Genomic DNA, 20971 nt, shown 5'->3' on the forward strand with positions numbered 1-20971 from the left:
TATAACGTTGAAATTTACCCTGGAGAAGAAGTTGTCACATAATCATTTAATCATAAGGAAACCATGATATCATAAAATTCAAAGTCATCTAGTTCAATTCATTGTTTTATCAAGATCATATTCAAACCACTCTAAAGAGACAATATTTTTACAATATCAAGATCAAATTAACAATATAAGACTAATTTTAAAATGGGTAAATAATAAACAGATACATAGCTTTTAATCATTAAGGACATGTAAGTTGAACCGACAAAATACCATTTTTTGATCATTAATTTGGCGAAATTTAAAAAGGTATCAGATATCAGCACAAGTTTGAGAAACTGAATTCTCTCCTGTACTGCTGCGGGCATGAATATTTACATTTTAGAAAAAGTAATTTGAAAGCTTCCTAACAAAAATTACAAACTGCTTATCCCAACAACTTATTATATAAAATGTCTATCTCTAGTGAAAAAACAAGGGTTCAGCAATTTTCTTTGCAAATTGATTATAATGGCAATACATGGAAACAAGGTAAGTCTGTCAATGGGAAGGAATAAATTAACAGTATATATTCACAGAATACTAGATAGGCACCGTAAGTATTATAAATATGTACTTGGGAAAATGCTCCCAGTTTACATTTGTTAGGAGAAAAAAAGGCACACTGAAGACTAATAATCACTTTTATGAGAGAAGAGAACCCTCTTTGTGCATCGATTTGTATAAATACAGAAAAAAAAACCATAAAAGTTATAAATAAAAGGGTAACAGAGACTACCTCTGGAGGGTGGAACAGGAGGAGGGATAGCAGAATGATGGTGACTTTCAATTTTACTTTATATAACTATACAGTGTTTCTATTTGTTAAAATGAGTACATTATTACTTTCATAGTCAAAAAACTAACTGTAGGTTTAAAAGTCCAAAAATATATCTTAATAAACTATTTTAACTGTTAAATTTTCTTTCTTGGCTCATAAAGGTATGAAAATCATCTTCAAACTCTGTCTGCATGTCATCTAAAAGATGTTTTTTAAAAACTATTCTCCACCCATAATCTAGCATTCTGAATTATTTTATGTGTATTTTAAATATGTGTCAAAACAATGTCAGTTAAGGCATGGAGCCTACAACATGTAAAACCAGTCCTCATAAATTCATAAGCCAAACAATATTTAGTTTTCATTCAAAAAAGTCTGACTTCATCTTTTAAGTGCTGTGCTTTTGCTAGATACTCTCTGTCCTGCCTTTCAAATTAACCCTCTCCGGTTTTTTTTTTTTTTAAGCCAAATTTAGCAGCTGGGGGTTGTATACCAACTTTAGTGACACTAACGTTAATAAGTTCTGATAACCCATGACACTCAAACCAGCTCTCTGCTAGGTTCTTGAAAAGTTTGGCCCACCACCAGGTTTTTACACCCTGCGGTAATGCAACATACTTACCTTAGGCTAGGTGAGAGATAAGTCTTGTTCCTGAAAAGGGCAACAGTGAAGGAAAACCTGTAGGTAGAATACCCATACTTTCTCCAGCAAATCGATTTTAGGAAAGAATGCATCTAAAAGCTAAAGATACAGAAACTGCCTGCATCGTAACCCTGGAAATTTCTGCTGGACTCCCAGAAAGCTCCAGTCTGAAGATCAGTAGAGGAGCTTTTACCCCTGCTGAAGTATTAGGAACAAAACAGTAACTGGTGACCTTTACTCCCTGGATCACCACAAGGGAGGAGTAATATCTGATTGGTGAGTTTGAAAGAAGAAACTGAGCATGTGTGACTCAGCTCATTTGAGCCTTGCTTATGTGTTTTCTCCACGTGGACCCCAGTGAAGGAGGGAGAAGTGTGCTTGTTCTGTCTAGCTTTGATTTTGTGGAACAGGTAAGTAAGTATAAGAGGGAGAGGAGGAGTGAAAGCAAAGGTGAAACGTGCACCAGAAAAACGTATTATCAAAGCAGCTATGGCTACAAGTGTGTATTAAGTCTCTCTACTTCAGGATTAGGAATAACAAAATCAATATTTTATCTGTATCGTATCTGTATAGACAGAAAAATCCTGGGAAAGGAATGCTTTGGGGGAGAATCAAAACAGCAAATGAAGTTTTAGAATTTTGGCTCATCCATGATGGGTTGTTCATTTTGCTGGAATTTTGTACTTACCTGGTAGCAGGAGCTAATTATGACTGCTATTTAAGCGGGAGGTGGGGGGGATTTGGGGGTGGAGAATTTTTTTTAAAAGAATAAGAGTTTTAATTCAGAAAGCAGGATTTCATTTAAGCCCATATGTCCTAGATGTTGATGGGGGTGGTAGGTTTGGGTAGGTCATAGGGTGTGGCTGGGTCTTAGATATGTAAATTTCTCAGGGCTGGCAGAGTCAGTCAGGGGTAGCCCTTTGGCAAGAGTAATATGAGTTTGGATTATCGAACTTCAGAGTTTAACCCTAAGAGGTAAGTATTTGCTCGTTTCTAAATTTTGAAGTTTTAAAGCCGGCGTTTTGATAATCTGATATATTTTACTAACCCTCTGAATTCACTGAGAGTAGGTAGGGCACTAATTCAGAGGTCCTAGGGAAACCTTCTGGGGGGAGATACCAAGTTATGGCTACAAAATGACCCAACTTTACATGGCACGGAGCTCTAAAAGTAAGCAGAATTAGCAAGTGTGGATCAACAGATACAGGATTTAAGAGGCATCATAAGTTTGCAGGCGGTAGCTGAAACTAACAAATGAGGTAACCAGAGGAAAAAGGTGTAACTGTGTGTGTGTGTATACATACACACATACACCTACTATTTTACTATATATAATAAAATATATAGATATTATACATATATAAAGAGAGTTTATGTATATGTGTGTGTGACAGAATATCTAAGGGGTAAAGGAAGAACAAATGAGGCTTCTGAAAGGCATAATCAGAGGAAGACAAACAGGAGAAAGCAACTCCAATGGGAAAAGGAAGGCCAGATCAACACTGGTAAACCTCACAAAAGTGGTGGGCATCAATAAGAACTGAAAAGAGGTAAATGGATTTGGCGTGCTTTGTGAACTGAAAAGAAACAAAAAATAAAATTTAAAAAAAAGAAGGATTTGTCAGTTAAGATGCCATTGGTTACCTCCACCACAGTTAGTTTATTGGAGAAGGAGGTCACATGGTTCAGACCTAAGATTTAATTTAAAATAGTTAATAAGACATAGAGATTATTATAAGCATTAAAAGAAAGGCAAAATACTAAATTTGAGAAAAAGTTCCATTAGGATAGAGCTACCCTGATTGTACCTCTGCCTTGACTGAAGCTGTAGGTAGTGGGTAGGAGTTAGTAAAACAGTAGAAATTGAAGATAAAGGCATAGGGAGAGGTGCTAATAACTGATAGAAAATCCCAGACAGCATATGGAAAGAGTAACTAAACCATGAAGATTCAAATACGTCCAGAGGCATAAGAAAATAAAACTAAAAATTCAGTCTCACTTTCTATATTTTCTCTCACTTTCTCTCATAAGCCTAAATCTCATTTTACTTCTTGGAGAACTGCTGTCATGTTTGTTAGTGTGTGTGGGGGAGGTTAGAGGCTCTGAGAAAAAGGGTCAAGTTAGACAGGAGAATGGCGTGAACCTGGGAGACGGAGCTTGCAGTGAGCCGAGATCGCGCCACTGCACTCCAGCCTGGGCAACAGAGCAAGACTCCGTCTCAAAAAAAATAAATAAATAAAAATAACTTCACTGTGGAATGGGAAAGGGCACTAACCCAACTGATGATTTCTAATTGAGGGCTCAGGAAACAAAGTGACACTTGGGAGTTAGGCTTTATAAGATAAGAATTTAAGGACTTGGGGAAAGCCAGTCCAGACTAAACAAATACTGCAGATTTAGATATATGAAAGTGAATGGGATATGTGAGAAGTAGCAAACCATAGTGAAAGATGAGCCTGGAGAAATAAGAGAGAAGACCTGAATGTTTAGAATTTCCCATGCAATCAACGAAGAGGCACTGAGGGTTTCTGAGGAGAAAGTAAGGCATCCCACCTGTGTATTAAAAAAATACGCGGGCTGGGCACGGTGGCTCACGCCTGTAATCCCAGCACTTTGGGAGGCCAAGGTGGGCAGATCACGATGTCAAGAGATCAAGACCATTCTGGCCAATATGGTGAAACCCCATCTCTACTAAAAATACAAAAATTAGCTGGGTGTGGTGGTGCGCACCTGTAGTCCCAGCTACTCGGCAGGCTGAGGCAGGAGAATCGCTTGAACCCAGGAGGCGGAGGTTGCAGTGAGCCGAGATTGCGCCATGGCCCTCCAGCCTGGCAATGGAGTGAGACTCCGTCTTTAAAAAAAAAAAAAAAAAAAAAAAAGCGAAACTGTAAAAGTTACACCGGAGCAGAAAAGGAATACTGAAGACAAAAGATAAGAGAGAGACACAGATATGTATACAGGTAGACTTTTAAGAAGCCAAATGCAAAATTTTGGGTGAGAAGTGATCACTCAGAGAGGAAGTGGATGGAACAGAAGGCAGACACAGAGACTGCCAAAGCTAAATAAAAGGTGATGGTAGTGATGATGATAATAATCATGATGACAGTGCTGATACAGCTAATATATAGAGGGTCTAATATGTGCCAGATACTGGTCTAAGTTAACTCACCAAGTTAATTCATTTACTGGATGTAAAGAATGGGAGGCAAAAATAATTGAGAACCTAAAAGTAGCATCAAGATTTCATTTCTCAATAAAGAGTAGTAATATCAACAGCAGAAAGAGATCAAGAAGTTTCAAAGGAAGGTAGGGGAAAGATCCAACAAAAATTTTCTGGTAACTTGCTATGTGCTATGCACGGTTCTAGTTTCATCAGTAAACCGGATAAAACATCCCTGTCTTCAAGTTTACATTTAGTTGGTTAGGGGAGGGTGGATACAGATAAATAGAATGCATACATTATAGTTTGTTAAAAGGTGATAAGTGCAATGTAAAAAAGGGGAAAAGAGCAGCGAGATGAAAAATGTGTGTATGGAGACAAATGGAGGGTTTTGATTTTTAAATAGGGTAATCAGTGTACCCCTCATGAGATGAAGTTAAGTGAACACCTGAAGGACATAAAATATTTCAGCCAAAGAGAAAAGCCAGTACAAAAGCTCTAAGTTAGAACTGGACCCAGTATATTCAAGTAAGCTAGCGTGGCTAAGAACAGTAGCAAATGAGTTTCGGGGAACAGTATCAGGAGGCTTGATCACCTAAGGCCTTGCAGAGCATTTTAAAGACTGTCTTTTACTGAGAGGGAAAGTCATTGTCGGGCTCTGAACAGAAGTGTGATATGATTTGATTTAGATAATTGAAGAGGATCAGGGTGCTACATAAACTACAAGCAATGATGGAATCAGGGAGACCAGTTAAATGACTAATGCAGGTATGAGATTAAATTAATTGTTTGAACCATGGTGAGAAGTGATTAAGATTATATATCTATATTTTGAGAGAAGGTCTCACACTGTTGCCTAAGCTGGAGTACAGTAGCACAATCACAGCTCACCGCAGTGACCTCCCCAGGCTCAGGTGATCCTCCCACCTCCACCTCCTGAGTAGCTAATTTTCAGGCAAAGGTAACGGGATTTTTCAACGCGATGGAGTATAGAGAGAAATTAAGGATGATTTCAAGGTTTCTGGCCTGAGCAATAAGAGTTGTGGGTTTGGGGTGGGCAAGGATCAGGAGTTCATATTTGGACACATCAAGTGTGAGATGCCTAATAAGGTATTCAAATGGACATGTTGAATAGCTAGCTGAATACACGAGACTGAAGTTTAGCAAAGAAGTCTGGGCTAGAGATACAAATTTGGAATCAACTGGTGTACATTTAAAGTTAGGGGGCAGGATAAGACCACCAGTGGATAAAGAAGACCATGTAACAAGTCAAAAGGCTTTTCGCTAAAAGGTAGGGGAGAAGAGGAGGAACCAGCAAGAGGACACAGGAACATCCAGACAGGTAGGAGGAAAAAAAGAGCCTGTAGTGGCATGAAAGCCAAGTGAAGAGAGTATATCAAATGTTATTAGTTCAGTAAGATAAAAGATGGAGAGGAGAAGTAACCATTGGATTTAGCTATATGAAAGTTACTGGAAACCACAAAAGCATAATTTTAGTGAGTTGTGGGAGTTGAGAGCCAGCCTGTCAGGAACAGATTCAGGATAATGGAAGAAAAAATGGAGGTGACTGAAAGCGGCGGTTCAGGGATCTTTACCGCAAAGGGAGGCAGAGAAATGGGTCTGTAGCTAAAAGGTTGAGGCAAGAGGGTTGAAGTCAAAAGGTTTTCTGTGTTTAAGATTGGAGAAATAAGTGTGTATGCTGATGAGAATGATTCAAGAGAGGGAAAAAAATAGGAGAAAGAAAAGGAATTGCTACGGACAGTGCTGTTGAGAAGGAGAAACCATATAGGATCTGGTACACAATGAAGGGACTGGTTACCAAAAATTTATCTAGGCTGGGCATGATGGCTCACGCCTGTTATTCCCAGCACTTTGGGAGGCCAAGGCGGGCAGATTGCCTGAGGTCAGGAGTTCGAGACCAGCCTGGCTAACATGGTGAAACCCAGTCTCTACCAAAAATACAAAAATTAGTAGGGCATGGTGGCCCATACCTGTAATCCCAGCTACTTGGGAGGGTGAAGCAGAAGGATCACTTCAACCTGTGAGGTGGAGGTCACAGTGAGCTGAGATCGCACCACTGCTCTGCAGCATGGGTGACAGAGTGAGGCGCTGTCTCAAAAAAAAAAAAAAACTTTATCTAGTCACTGGTAGGAAGTATATGGGTGTAGATATTGGTGGGTGGATAGATAGGGTAGGCAAAGTCTTTGGAAGTTTTCTTTTGATGCTTCCATTTTCTCATTAAAGGTAAAGAAGAGGAGGTGCAGGTATTGGTGGGCAGATAGATGGTGTAGGTAAAGTCTTTGCAAGTTTTCTTCTGATAGTTCAATTTTCTCAGGATGCAAGGTCACCTACTGAAGGTGAAAGAGAGGTGGTGCTGGAGTTCCTAGGATAAGGGAGAAAGTAAGAAACAGTGGTCTAAATGAATGGAAGACTAAATTAAACTAAGGAAATGCAGCATTTTAACTACTGGTCAGCATTAAAGGGCTAGGGAAATCTAGTAAAGCTACTGTCAGCATAAAAGGGTTCGTTGTCACACATTTCAAGTAAAATTAGTCATAAAGATTGTTTTTTCTCGACACGTTTAGTTACTGAGGTTCATGTGAGAATAAGAAGAAAGGAGTAAGAAACAATGAAAGGGTAGTATGACATAAATGGTTCTTACCATTTATTGGTCGGTGGTGTTGGCAGGATTATTAAAAGTAGAATTCTAGAGGGAGTAAAGTTGAAAAGATAGAAAGCAATAATCAGAGAATGAAATGTGTGAAACCGAGAATGGGATAGGTTGTGTTTGAAAAATATACTATTACCTAGCTCCCTAAAAGTTTACCAAAAAAAAAAAAAAAAAAAAAAAAGGTAGAGGAAAAAAACTAAAATGAAGTGAAGGGGGTAAAAAAAGGTAGAGGAAAAAAACTAAAATGAAGTGAAGGGGGTGAAATAATTATATCAAAAATGTAAGTTTAAAATATCTGCTAGGGATTCTAACAGCCAAGAACGTAACTTAGTTGTTAATGTTCTGAGAGCAAGCAATTAACTGTTAAGAAGATTCCATAACTTGACCAGATGGAACTACTTCAGAGCAGGGACTCTTCCACTTAGTAAATGCTCAATAAATAAATGTTTACTTAATAAGTATTAAAAAATCTGCTGGCCTTAACATAATGGCCACTGATCTCTTTTTCTTTTGTAGAGACTGGGTCTCACTACATTGGCCAGGCCGGATTTGAATTCCTGGGCTCAGCCTCCCGAGTAGCTGGGACTACAAGCATGTACCACCATGCCCAGTTTTCTGCAGCAGTTTTTATAAACCAAATTTTCCAAATTAGAAAGACTGACCAAAGAAGCACTTTTATACGAGGAATAACTTACGTATGGAGAATCTCAACTTGGACCAGTCAAGACCAACTCCAGCGATGAAGCCAGAATGTAATATATCTCAAAAGGCTAAAGAAGTCCATTTTCCCAGATGTAAATTATAATTAAAAAATAGTGAGCCAAACTCTAATATCCCAATGTGATAATCTTTCAAATAAAAATATGGGCTGTAGTTCAGGAAAAAAGTGGCTTCTCTATAATTAAAAATTTTACATATGTTCCACGTTCACTCAAAACTATACATAAAAGTATATAATGCATGTGCAGGAATCAATTTAGATAGAATTGATTAATGATTAAGAATTCTTCATTAGCTTTTGGTTTTAATATTATGGAAAAATATACAACGATATTTAAAAGAAGCTTCTCTTGACTTCTCTTAAAACTAAGGCTCTTGAAAGTATAAACATTAAGGTTAAATAACGCTGGCAAGAATACAAGGAAATGACATTGGTGTATTGCTAATGGTACTAGGAAAGTATTCTGCAAGTATCTACTAAATTAAAAATACAGTAGTGCCCCCTTATCCATGATGAGTAAGTACATTCCAAGATCCCTGGTAGATGCCTGAAACCTTGGATAGTACTGGACCCTGTATATATATGTTTTTTCAAAGAAACCCATGATAAAATTTAATTTATAAATTAGGCACAATGAAAGATAAGCAACAATAGCAATAAAATAGAACAATTATAACAATATGCCAGTAACACTACTCTTGCACTTTGGGGCCATTATTAAGTAAAATTAGGGTTTCTTGAACACAAGCACTGTGATACCTCAACAGTCAATCTGATAACTGAGGGCTACTAAGTGGATACACCAGACAAAAGGAGGATTCATGTCCCAGGTGGGACAGAAAAGGACGGCGCAAAATTTCATCACACTACTCAGAACGGCATGCAACATGAAACTTATGAATTGTTTATTTCTGGAATTTTCCATTTAATATTTTCAGACCATAGGGAAAGCAAAACCACAAATAAAGGGACTACTATATGTTGACCCACATGAAGGAACTTATTTCATAAAAATAAAAGGAGCAAAATATTTAAAAAATATGTATAAGGGTGTTTATTACAATATTATTTGTCGTGACAAAAAACTGGAAACAAACTTATTATGGACTATTCTGCAGTTATTTAAAATCACTATCAAATGACAATATCCATCAGTTACTAAGAGAGGGGAAAGCAAGTATTAGAGTAATATGTTTGCATGATTCTGTTTTTTAAAAAAAGTACACCATCACAATCAGTGTGAACATTTATTCATTCAACAAATATTTATTGAGTGCCTACTATATGCCAGACACTATTTTATGTTCTAGTAATAGAGACAAACAAGATAATTAAGTATTTTGAATGAATACAATATTTAGAATGTTGAAAAGTGAAAAATAAAGCAGAGAAGAGCAGAAAAGTGCTTGTGAAGAGGAAACTAAAACATGAGGACATCTAAGGGACATTCATGGAAGATGCTGCTGACAGCACAAACAAAAAGAGGATGGTCAGTATGGATAGAGCAAGGTGACTAAGAGAAAGAGTAATAAAAAACAAGGCCAGAGAGGTTTAAGAAGTGGTGTGGGTAGGCAGATCATTACAGGATCTTAAAAGGCCTTATAGGTAATTGCAGAGGTAAAGATTTTAAAACAACCATTATCACATTTCTAACTTCAGTTATCTTAAAATGATGGCAGCTGTTCTTGTCTTTGTTTCACAGTTTAAACTGAGCACACTGTTATAATAAAAAAACAAAAATTTAAAGAATCAAATATATATTCTATCACACAAACTGGCTCAATTATACTGCCTTGTATTTAGCAGGCATTAAATAAATGTTAGGTAGTGAATATAAAAACAGGTCAAGTAATAGTTATAGTGGTCATTATATCTCTTAATGCACTCATATTCTTTTAACATTTTTAAATGGCCAAAACAGCTACTTTTAATTTGCTCAGAATATAAACCACAAATTTTTAAAAATGAAGAGCTTCCAAAATAAAATACATTTTTTCAGAAAATAGTATTTTCAAATTTAAATTAGAATAAAGTACTTCAAATGATTCATATTAATGTAGGACAAAATGTAGAACTTAATAAAGAAAGCAAGTATAGTAAAAAAGAATGTAGCTAACAAGTCAAAAAACGCATATGCATAATTATCACTGCATCTCCTTTATAAATTTAAATAGTAGATGTTAAATTTTATAGCATTTTGACCTTTTTAAAAAAATTTTATTTATTTTTTGAGACGGAGTCTCACTCTGTTGCCCAGGCTGGAGTGCAGTGGCGTGATCTTGGCTCACTGCAACCTCCGCCTCCCAGGTTCAAGTGATTCTCCTGCCTCAGCCTCCAGAGTAAATGGGATTACAGGCATGCACCACCACGTCCGGCTAATTTTCGTATTTTTGGTAGAGACGGTGTTTTGCCATGTTGGCCAGGCTGGTCTCAAGCTCCTGACCTCAGGTGATGTGCCCGCCTCGGCCTCCCAAAGTGCTGGGAATACAGGCGTGAGCTACTGCGCCCAGCCACTGACCTTTTTATAAAAGATGAGATATGGCAGTTCCATAATATTCAATGCCAAACCAATTATTTTCCTATGATTACTATTCAGTTAAGTTCTAGAGTACAGAATTATAGGGGAAAATGTGGCAGAAAAGGGAAGTGAAGAAGCTATAAGACTGTCCAAACTATATGCTGTTTTGGTGTATTTTACTCCCCATGGGAATAGATGGGAATGATGTTGTAGTCTGCCTGAAAGAGAAAAGTACAAGAGAAGTCACCCATTTAAAAAGTGTACTCATTTGACATTCCAAGATTTGTATTTCACTAGTTGGTTATGCCTTGGTAGTGCATTTGGTACTTGTGATAAACCTGTTGGCAATAAATTACAAGGTCTAAAACAATAAATTATAAGATCAAAAAACAACAGATGTGGTTGAGGATTAAGAGATCATTAGCTGAGATAAGACTAAAATCCAGAACTAGAAGCTAAGTTTTCTGACTTCCAGATCAATGTAATTCCTATAACAAAATTTTGTTAGTTACAAAGAAGCTTTCAATGATGTTCAATGTACTCATAATTCTCTCCACGATTTGAGCCAAATGTAGAAAGAAATCATGTACGTAATTTAAAGCAAACAAAACAAAACAAAAAGACGGATTACAAATCAAAAGAAGAGAAAACAAGATGGAAAAAAGTGGGTAGTTTTCATGTGTAAAGATTATTGTTACCTTTTCCAAGTCTAACTCCTCTAACAAAATGCTGGCGTTTTTGTTTGCTTCAGCAGCCTGTCTATCTTTGGCTTGTACTATTGACTCCATACAAAGATGACACTTCTTCAGCATCTCCTATAATGAAAAATTAAGATTTTTCCAGGCTCACAGAACAATTCTCACTTAGAGAAATTCCTAAAAACACGAAGATCTTTAGTAAGGTACTCAAACCTAAGCAATAAAGATCCATGAAAGGGGGAAAAAAGGTGTGCAAATAAAAACGTAATTGACATGGTATATTTAGGAATATATACAAATGAAGAATCAAAGAGTAGCTTTTGCTATTCTTCAAAATAATATCCATTTAGCAGGCACTTCAGAAACTAAAGTCATTTATCCTCTAATTTAAATATAAGAAATTGTACAGCAAACAGAACTACAATAATTTATGTTGGCTGGTTAACAGGCTAAAGGAAATAATGTCAACAAAGAAAACAGATGTGAAAATTTTTCAAGAAATGTCCTCAAATATTTAAGCTTTGTTGCTCCAATTTTGTGTACAATAATCATTTACAAAGGAATCAGATACATGTACTTACATAATTTTCTCAGTGATTTCATTCTCAAGTCACACTTTAGGACAGTAAAACACTACTTCCTTATTTTTATAAAATTTTTATTTATTTAATTTTAGAGATAGGGGCTTGCCATGTTGCCCAGGCTTAAATGCAGTGGCTATTAACAGGCATAATCATAGTATACTGTATCCTTTAACTCCTAGGCTCAAGCAATCCTCTCACCTCAGCCTCCCAAGTACATGAGACTAATGCGTACCTGAGACTACAGCTGTGTGCCACTGAACCAGTCTTATTCTTAGTATTATTAAAAATAATTTATTTTTAATCTCCCCCTCTGCCCCTAAAAACCTGTGATATATAGGAATGTTAATTGTCATGGACAAGTCTAGAGCTAGGAAAGACAGTGACCTAGCTAGTTTAAATTAAAACTTATAGGGAAAAGCTGTTCACTATCATGTAATAGCAACTGTGTAAACGTCATAAGAAGACATTTTTAAGATTTGTTGTCCTCTTTGGTTTTCAGAGGCATGTGTTAGGATCTTATTCAAGTGTTAGTGTAAACTCCAAATCAAAATGTATGTCTCCAGGAGAAGGTCTCAATTAGGATCTCTAATAGGATTCAGTTTTATCTTCCATAAAATTTCCTGCAAAATTTGCATTTCCTGCAAAATTCCTAGCCAATTCATTCTAAAACTTAGTTAAAACTAAAAGTTAGTTACCCTAACTTTTACATCACGCTCAAGACTTCTTGCTCATGATTAAAAGTAGTATGTTCATTTTACTAGGAAATAAAAATCTATTGGACTCATTACTTTCTCAATATAGGTATCAGTCTGGATAAACACACATATACAGAGGACAGCCCTAATGAATAATAACATGTTGCTTTGAATTACTTAGTGTTCACATAAAAATTAAATTAGCTCAAGAATTTTTTTGTTGTTATTTTATTTTTTGAGACAAGAGTCTTGCTTTGATGCCCAGGCTGGAGTACAATGGCACACTCTTGGCTCACTGCAACCTCCACCTTCCGGGTTCAAGCGATTTTCGTGCCTCAGCCTTCCAAGTAGCTGGGATTATAGGCACATGCCAACATGCCAGGCTAATTTTTGTATTTTTGTAGAGATGGGGTCTCCCCATGTTGCCCAAGCTGGTCTTGAACTCCTGGGCTCATGCAATCCACCTGCCTCGGCCTCCCAAACTGCTGGGATTACAAGGGTGAGCCACTGCACCTGGCCTCAAGTATTATTTTTAAAGATAAGGTAATCCTATAGCAGAGGATGTTTTATTGATTCATTAGGTAAGTAAATAATCTGCAAGAATCTCTTAAATCGCATACTTCATTCCCAAATACTAGATAAATGAAAATGGCTACATATTACACTTTACTACTCAAACTAGGAATTCTTAGAATGGAAGATATATTAACCGAATAGAGTCCCTTGCTCATATAGTGAACAACATATTACCTTATCAGTGATGGTTGCTATGTATCTCATACATTCAGAATCTGATGGAAACTGATTGACTTCTTTGACTAAGTAGCGCACCACCTTCACATGACCCTAAAAAATAGATATCAATGTCAGATTGAAAACAGACTCTAACAGTTCAGTAAATCTATGCCTGAACTAACTTTAACAGTTAAGATTAGGGCCACAAAGTAAAGACTAAATTGCATATTTACACTATAAATGAAAAAGAGACAGGCTTTGGTTCCAGTGAGTTAAATCCACATTGATCATTCTCATCCTACCCTCCAAAAAAAGTACATAATAATATGAGCTAAAATTCTAAACAACTCTGAATAAAAAAAACAATAATCCCAAAATCAATACAAAGAGTAGGGGATATGTCTGAAGGGTGGTGGGGGGTGGGGATTCTTATTTTTTTCTTTGCTAACTCCCTAAATATGAGAGTCTAGTTTCAATTCTAAGGATTAAAAGGGCAAAAATAATAATTTTGTTTTTTCATTCCTTCAGATAAAAAACAAATGTATAATACTGTCTTAGGTAGTGTGAAAGAATATATACTTTCATGAAGAATAAGCTATGATTATTCACTGCAACACAAGTTAGTATCTAAGTTCAAAATCTTTAGACTTGCCCTTTCCTACTTCTTAAACGCCATTCCCACTTTGTCTAGCCCATACTGTTGCTTTCTGACACAACATCTGAAGTTAGCCAGTCGGGATAAACAGCTGTTAATCTTTAGTATATTTTTTCTATTGCCTCTATCTCTTCCTTTTAGACTGCATGTTTCTAAACTTTTCTCTAAATGAATAGCTCAAATGCCACTTGCATCATTCCCTAAGGATCTCTCTAATACTTCTACAGTGTTTAAACTATTTACATGGGACAACTCAAACAGTTACCTAACTTTGGGTATGGATCTTACCTTTCCATATTGTACCCTATATAACATAGTATATGTTATATATACATATATAGACAATATGTATATACATATATAGACAATGTATATAGACATATATACACAACATATACTATGTTGCACCCTATATAATATAGTACTCTAGCCCACAGTTGCACATGTTAGGTACTCAAGAAATAATGGAACAAATACATAAGAGTATAAAAGATAAGCACTGCTCAACTGAAGTCAATAAGTCTATCTGGAAAGATATATGCATGTTAGATACTAGAGTAATAACTAATAAAAATAACAACTCTAATAGTTAGAGTAATAACATATAAAAATATGTATTTCTCCAAATGAATGATAAACACTGTCAAACTTGTACGACCTCTAGAGATTAGAGATCTCGATGTGAACTCAAATAGGATGAAGAGTTTGGTAGGAGAGACTTCAACTATAACTAAAGAATGAGTAACTTTGGAAAAATGAAGAAAGACATGGGCATTCTATGAGATGAGAACAAAGGTGATGTGAGAGATAGGAACAAGGAAAAGACCAAGCAAGAAGATAATTCTCCACATTAAGGATTCTAATGGGAGATAAGATCTACAAGCACTAAATTGTGGTGGCTGTGAATACCAAACTAAGATTGGATTTCAAATGATTTCAGAAACTGGGGAGACACAGAAAGGTTCTTGAAGAGGTTCTCTAATATAGTAGAGTGGTTAGAAAGATTAACTTGATAATGATATGCTAGCTTGCTTGGAGAAGAGGCAGCTAGCCAGTGAGAAGGAATAAGTTGGATTGCTGAGAAACAAAAATATAGAGAGTCAAAAATACAGAGTCACTGGTAGTCCAGATTATCTAGGGAAGAGGTAGAATAAAGAACAGCGGTCAGAGATAATAAGAGAAAAAGGAAGAAATAGCTTATTGTGATTTATTTATTAAAAATTTTCAACATTTTGGCATCTACAGGGAATTTTATCTACATATCTCCAAATGACAAAACTCAAAATTATAATCCCTGTAACAGTAATCTGATATTCCCAATAACAAACTAAAGCTGGATTTAAGAGATCAATGGATTATCAAACAAACCATTAAATCAAATTACTTACACACAGCTCTGTGCTATGTACAGAAAGAGAAAGTTTGTTTTACTTTCACGGAATTTGTATTTTTACCTTTAAATGTAATATACTTGAAACTTAGTAGTTTAAAATGCTGGTAGTGGCATTTTCATTATTTAATTCATTTTTTTTCCTAGTAAAGTCAATAATTGAAATGAAAACAAATTTTTTTTGAGACGGGGTCGTACTCTTGTCACCCGGGCTGGAGTGCGGTGGTGCAATCTCAGCTCACTGCAACCTTTGCCTCTCAGGCTCAAGCCATCCTCCTATCTCAGCCTCCTGAGTAGCTGGGACTATTAGCACATGTCACCACGCTCGGCTAATTTTTATAATTTTTGTAGAGGCAGGGCTTCGCTACATCTGCCTGCCTTGGCCTCCCAAAGTGCTGAGATTACAGGCATGAGCCACCATGCGTGGCACAACCCCCGCCCCCAGCAAAATAACCAGTTTAAGTGATATTTTTCTCTGTAGTGGTAATACAAGAAAACACTCACTAAGAGTAACTAACTGGAGGTACTTACTTAAGTATCTTAACTGGATTTACACTTTGTGAAGATTAAGACTGCAACTAGATTTTGAACACATTACTTAGAACAGCTTTTTAAAAGTTTACTTAGCTCTGATGTCCAATAAGGTTAAAATTAATGGCTTTTCTGAAAAACCTGTATATATCTACATTTAATGTTGCCATAAGAGTAATTATTTGCATATTATTGCTTTCATCACAGCTGCAAAAGCACAAAATGAGTCTTTAGTGATCACTAAGCCATGTACTTCCTAGTGTAAGTAAAAAAACATCCAGGTAAATGAGGATGAAAGACTTATACCTTTCTAAATGCTGCCATAAGAGGAGTTATCTTGCGGTTATCTGCTGCATCCACATCTGCACCTGCTTGCACCAGTAACTGAACCACATCGAGGTGTCCACCATTTGCTGCTAGCCACAATGGAGTGTTCCCCTTCTTGTTACGTACATCAATATGAGCTCCCCTAAAAACCAATGACACAGATAGCATTGTCTTTTTTTTTTTTTTTTTTTTTTTTGATACAGGGTCTTGCTCTGTCACACAGGCTGGAGTGCAGTGGTGAGATCATGGCTCACTGCAGCCTCCACCTCCAGGGGTCATATGATTCTCCTACCTCAGCCTCCAGAGTAGCTGGGACTACAGTCCCATGCCACCACGCTCAGCTAATTTTTAAATTTCTTGTGGAGATGGAGTCTTCCTATGTTACCCAGGCTGGTCTCGAACTCCTGGGCTCAAGTAATCCTCCTGCCTCAACCTCTCAAAGTGCTGGAATTATAGGCATTGTCACCACACCTAGCCTAGCATTGTCTTAAATAGAATGAAATGACACAGTAACAAAAATCAACTATCAACATGTGAAAATATTCTGTAAAGATAAAAATTGTTTTCAATATTCAAAGATGTAAATATGTCTTGCTCTCAGAATTATACTACACAAACAATATCCTATGAGGCAACTGTAACCGTTTCAGATTATTTGTATTCATATACAATTTGACCATCCCTAATCTGAAATCCAGTATCTGAAGTCTGAAATGCTCCAAAGAGCATTTCCTTTGAGTGTCATAACAGGGCTCAAAAAGTTCCATACTTTGGAGCTTTTCCAATTAGGGATACTCAATCTGTTTTTGTAGTTATGTTAAAGATAACATGCAGGTTTAGCATTCATTCAGTGGGCATGATGTAGATGGGAAGAACCATGGTTAGTAAGAGTTAACAGCAGTTACTGCCAAATACTACTGCTTAGAATACCATGCAAAGGTCTTTGAGAGTGCACGAAAACAAGTTAAACAGACAAGCATCTTTGGAAAACTAGCAGGCAACTTCTACGTGACTGAAAGTAGAAAGTACCTTGGATCCTGTCTGTTTATCTTAAATAGTCCCATAACCACACCTAAAAGCCTTAATTACTGTGAAGAACAAGAAAATGGACAATGAAGCCTTAGATCACTGCCAGACTTTTAAGACTTGTGTGTGGGGGATGTAAGTATGTCTGATAACAGATGGATGTTCAAATAGCTTGTTATTGTAGACGTTAAAAGTAATATAGACAAGAATGAAAGAAAAACATTTTTAGGTTACACAGAAACAAATCAGACAATGTAGCATAGCTCTGGAGGGTTGGAAAACAATGGGTAGGTTTGGGGGAAAAAGCACTTGTTTATAAAAGAAGAAATAATCACATTTGATTTTTTAAATAGTTTAATTGCCTAGAGAGAATGATAACCACTAGTAACACTTGTGTTCATATATGAAGGGTATGGTAACAACATACCTGCCAATAAGAAGCTCACAGAATTTGTAATGCCCTTTATCTGCTGCTATGGTTAAAGCTGTATCTCTTGAGGAGGGAACTGGAGGGGCATTAACATCAGCACCTTTATCCAAAAGAACTCGGCCCACCTCCGCATATCCACCAGAGGCAGCTTCCATTAGTGGTGTGAGACCAGTCTAAGTTTAGTGTAAAATTAAAAGTAATGACACGTAAGAGACTGGAAAGATCTAAAATTGTAAAGAATAACAACTTGAAGAAGGAATATGATACAGCTGTTACCAAGATTCACAACTAAATTTAATCACTGACCCTTATTAGCTCCTTTGAGTTAGTCTGATCTATTAAAAGAAAATAATTCTACCTAATCTCAACGGTATTGCAAAAAAAAAAAAAAGAAAGAAAGAAAAAAAAATCTGTTTAAGATGCAAGCACTTGGCATATAACTGGTACTCAATAAATGTTCCATTCCCTTCCTTTTCAAAATAGTCTCTCTTTTTCAGCTGATAATCCTACTGTCATTGTTGCCTATAAAAATTTATCACTCAGGTATTTTCAAGAGTTAATGTTTGACTGAGTTATACAGAATGATTTCTAATTAAATATATACATAGGAGATAAATGTTACTAGAAAGAACTAAAATTATAATCAACATGTTGCTACTATATATCTTAAATATCAAAGCAATAAATTCATGTGTAAATCTCAGACTTTTTCTTACCTTAGCTCTGTGTTCAACATTTGCTTTTCTATCAAGCAGAAGACTAACCACTTCAGTTCTTCCTTGGAAGCAGGCTAAAGTAAGGGCAGTGTTCCGATTGGTTTCTATCTGAGCATTTATGTCAGAGCCCATGTCTAACAGGAGCTTAACAGCAGCTGTATGCCCATTCATAGCTGCTAACATCAGAGGAGAGATGCCCAATTTGCTACCAGTTCTAGGGGTGCAGGTATGGGGAAAACAAATGGAAAAATATATATTTTAAATGACAGAAAAATTGGAGATGATATATAATTCTAATCTAAGATTATTTTGAAGGATTGTTTAAAATATCCATTTTTCTCAACCTTAGTAAGTCTCTGAGATACTACCAAGACTCCATTAGAAATGTTTTATTAGAATATTTTTTGTATTTCACTCAACATAATGACTTAGGCTGGAAGGTGATTAATAAGTTATTAGGATAAACTTTCAATCTTAAAGCATGTATTAGCTTGCTTAATAAAAGCTTCTAAGATGTTTACATTTAGTATCATAAGAAACAGTACTCAATATTTTTCAAACTCTATATCAAGTTTTAATTACTTAAATAAAGTTCATCTCAAAAATCTCTAACACTTTGAATGCCAAATTTGTAATAAAGGGATTTACTAAATTTGGCACTAAAAAATAGGTGTTCTACAAATATCTATAACAGTCTTACTAAATAAGGGGCTTACAGAAAGGGAATACAACTTGCCTAGAGTTAATCTCAGCTCCTGCATTTAGTAATATTTTGATGATGTTCACATAGCCACCAGAAGCAGCCAGACTTAGAGGTGTGTAATCAGAAACATTCCTGTGCTCTTTATTTGCCCCTCGAGCTAACAATAGCTCCACCACCTGAAAATAAAATAGAAAAAAATATGTTTTCTTATGGAGAGACAAATTACCAAAGTGTGTATTTTTAAATTTCTTTTTCTGGTATACTGTACAATAAAAGAAGGGGAAAGTTCTTCCTTCATGCTCTGCATAAAATCAGCCTCTAATGATAGCAGGAGGTCTTAGAAGCCAACAAAGAGATACCTTCTCAAGTAAAACCCATGTAGAAATCCACTAAAATGCTACAATGTGTTCATGAAAGGTCTGGACTGAAAATTTTGTGACATGCTTTGGAAATTAATATTTGTTATTTCACCACAAAGCGGTAAAATAGAGTAATATGGGACAAGATTTTTTCGTATTATACATGTGAATGTATTTAACATATTTTTAAACCTTTTAATCAGTAAGTATTTTAAAAGCATGGTATAAAAGGTCCTATATTTTCACAAGATTATGAAAATTTTCTAAGATAACATTAAAAAACCTTATATACATTCACTACCTAGATTTTAGGTCCCACCTACTGGCAGAATTTCTGGGTGTATGGTTTTGTAAGAAATTGCCAGGCTATTCTTAAAGTGGTTGTACTATGTACACTCCCTTCAATAATGCATGAGTTCTAGTAGCATGAGTCTTGGCAACATCTGTTATTGCCAGTCGTCAATTTTAGCCATTCTAGTGGATGTGTAGTTGTATCCCACTGGATCTTAATTGCATTTCCTGAAACCTAAAAATATTTAGCATTTATTTAAGTACTGATGGGCCATTCACAGATCATTGTCCACTATGCCATTTAATGCCTAAACAATCCTTTGACACAATATTCATTCTCATTTTATAAATAAGATATAGAGAAGTCAAGACTGGCTCAAGATCATAGCTCTTACCCCTGCTCTTACTATTAATAATATATCCTAAAATACTAACTGGCAAATAATAAATGTTAATGAATAGTGGTTTATCTTGCATCTCAGCAAAGCTATGTCCAATTTTAGATATCACATTCTTTCCATCACTTTTTGCTTTCAGAGCGAGTGACAAGGTTATAAAAACAAGAAAAAATATAGCGTTAGGCTATTTTATAAACAGTATAGTAGAAAACTCTAATCAAATTTCTCAAGTTTTCTCAATGCCATTATATTTCTCAATTCTTTCAGAGAACTCTTCTGCTCCCAAAACATCCAATATACAACAAAAATGTATGATTTTTATAGTAAAATGACTTTCCAACATTTTATTAATCACTTCAAAATACTTACCTCTTCTATTGACACCAAATTAAAGTAACAAAGTGTTTATAGGCAAAATTGTTACCCTAACATACTTCAACAATTGTTATAACCTAATCTGTTATATTTTAACAAAAATACATAATTCATAAAAATTACAGTGCCCTATTGGCTTTAATACTACTTTTAAATAAAGAAAATCAACTAATATCTTCTTGACTCAATATTGAAAAAATCTGTTCTTATATAAAGCAAGTATTTTTTCAAGCTAAATAATGATTGAAAGGCAATATGATTGAAAGGCAAAATTTTGCTTTCCGGGATTTATGGGGATTTTTACTTTTTCTGGAATAGTAGAAATAATTTATCAAATTAAGTGGTTCATTTTTCACTATCTTAATATTTGGCTTATAATACTTTTAACCTATCTATTGCCCCTACTATGAATTATAGAAGAAAAAAGTGACACAAGTAGAAGAAACAAAACAGTAGGGACAGGCCAGGCTCCTTGTCTCTTGTGTGGAGTATTCTAGTAATAAGTGTATCTAACTATCCATTCATATAATATCTATT

The 20971-nt window shown here is 35.7% G+C and overlaps 1 protein-coding gene and 1 long non-coding RNA gene across 26 annotated transcripts in view; one reads left to right on the top strand and one right to left on the bottom strand.

Annotated features, from left to right (window-relative positions):
- Positions 1-20971, bottom strand: part of ANKRD17 (ankyrin repeat domain 17) — a 185423-nt gene that overhangs the window by 29197 nt on the left and 135255 nt on the right. For 17 of the 25 annotated variants that reach the window (XM_005265671.5, NM_198889.3, NM_015574.2 and 14 more), the window contains 6 exons: positions 19045-19187; positions 18309-18522; positions 17590-17765; positions 16116-16278; positions 13249-13344; positions 11220-11336 (listed from right to left, as the gene is read on the bottom strand). In XM_005265671.5, the coding sequence (XP_005265728.1) occupies positions 11220-11336; positions 13249-13344; positions 16116-16278; positions 17590-17765; positions 18309-18522; positions 19045-19187 (909 nt within the window). Of the gene's footprint in view, positions 1-8884; positions 10740-11219; positions 11337-13248; positions 13345-16115; positions 16279-17589; positions 17766-18308; positions 18523-19044; positions 19188-20971 lie in introns of those variants that run through there. The other 8 variants (XM_047450047.1, XM_017008016.3, XM_017008014.3 and 5 more) reach the window with 1 other exon arrangement.
- LOC124900713 (uncharacterized) lies at positions 1773-8168 on the top strand. Its single transcript, XR_007058138.1, has 2 exons — positions 1773-1861; positions 7799-8168. It is a non-coding gene; the product is annotated as an uncharacterized LOC124900713 (long non-coding RNA).

Source organism: Homo sapiens, chromosome 4 (genome assembly GCF_000001405.40).
Source record: "Homo sapiens chromosome 4, GRCh38.p14 Primary Assembly".
Taxonomy (NCBI): Eukaryota; Metazoa; Chordata; class Mammalia; order Primates; family Hominidae; genus Homo; species Homo sapiens.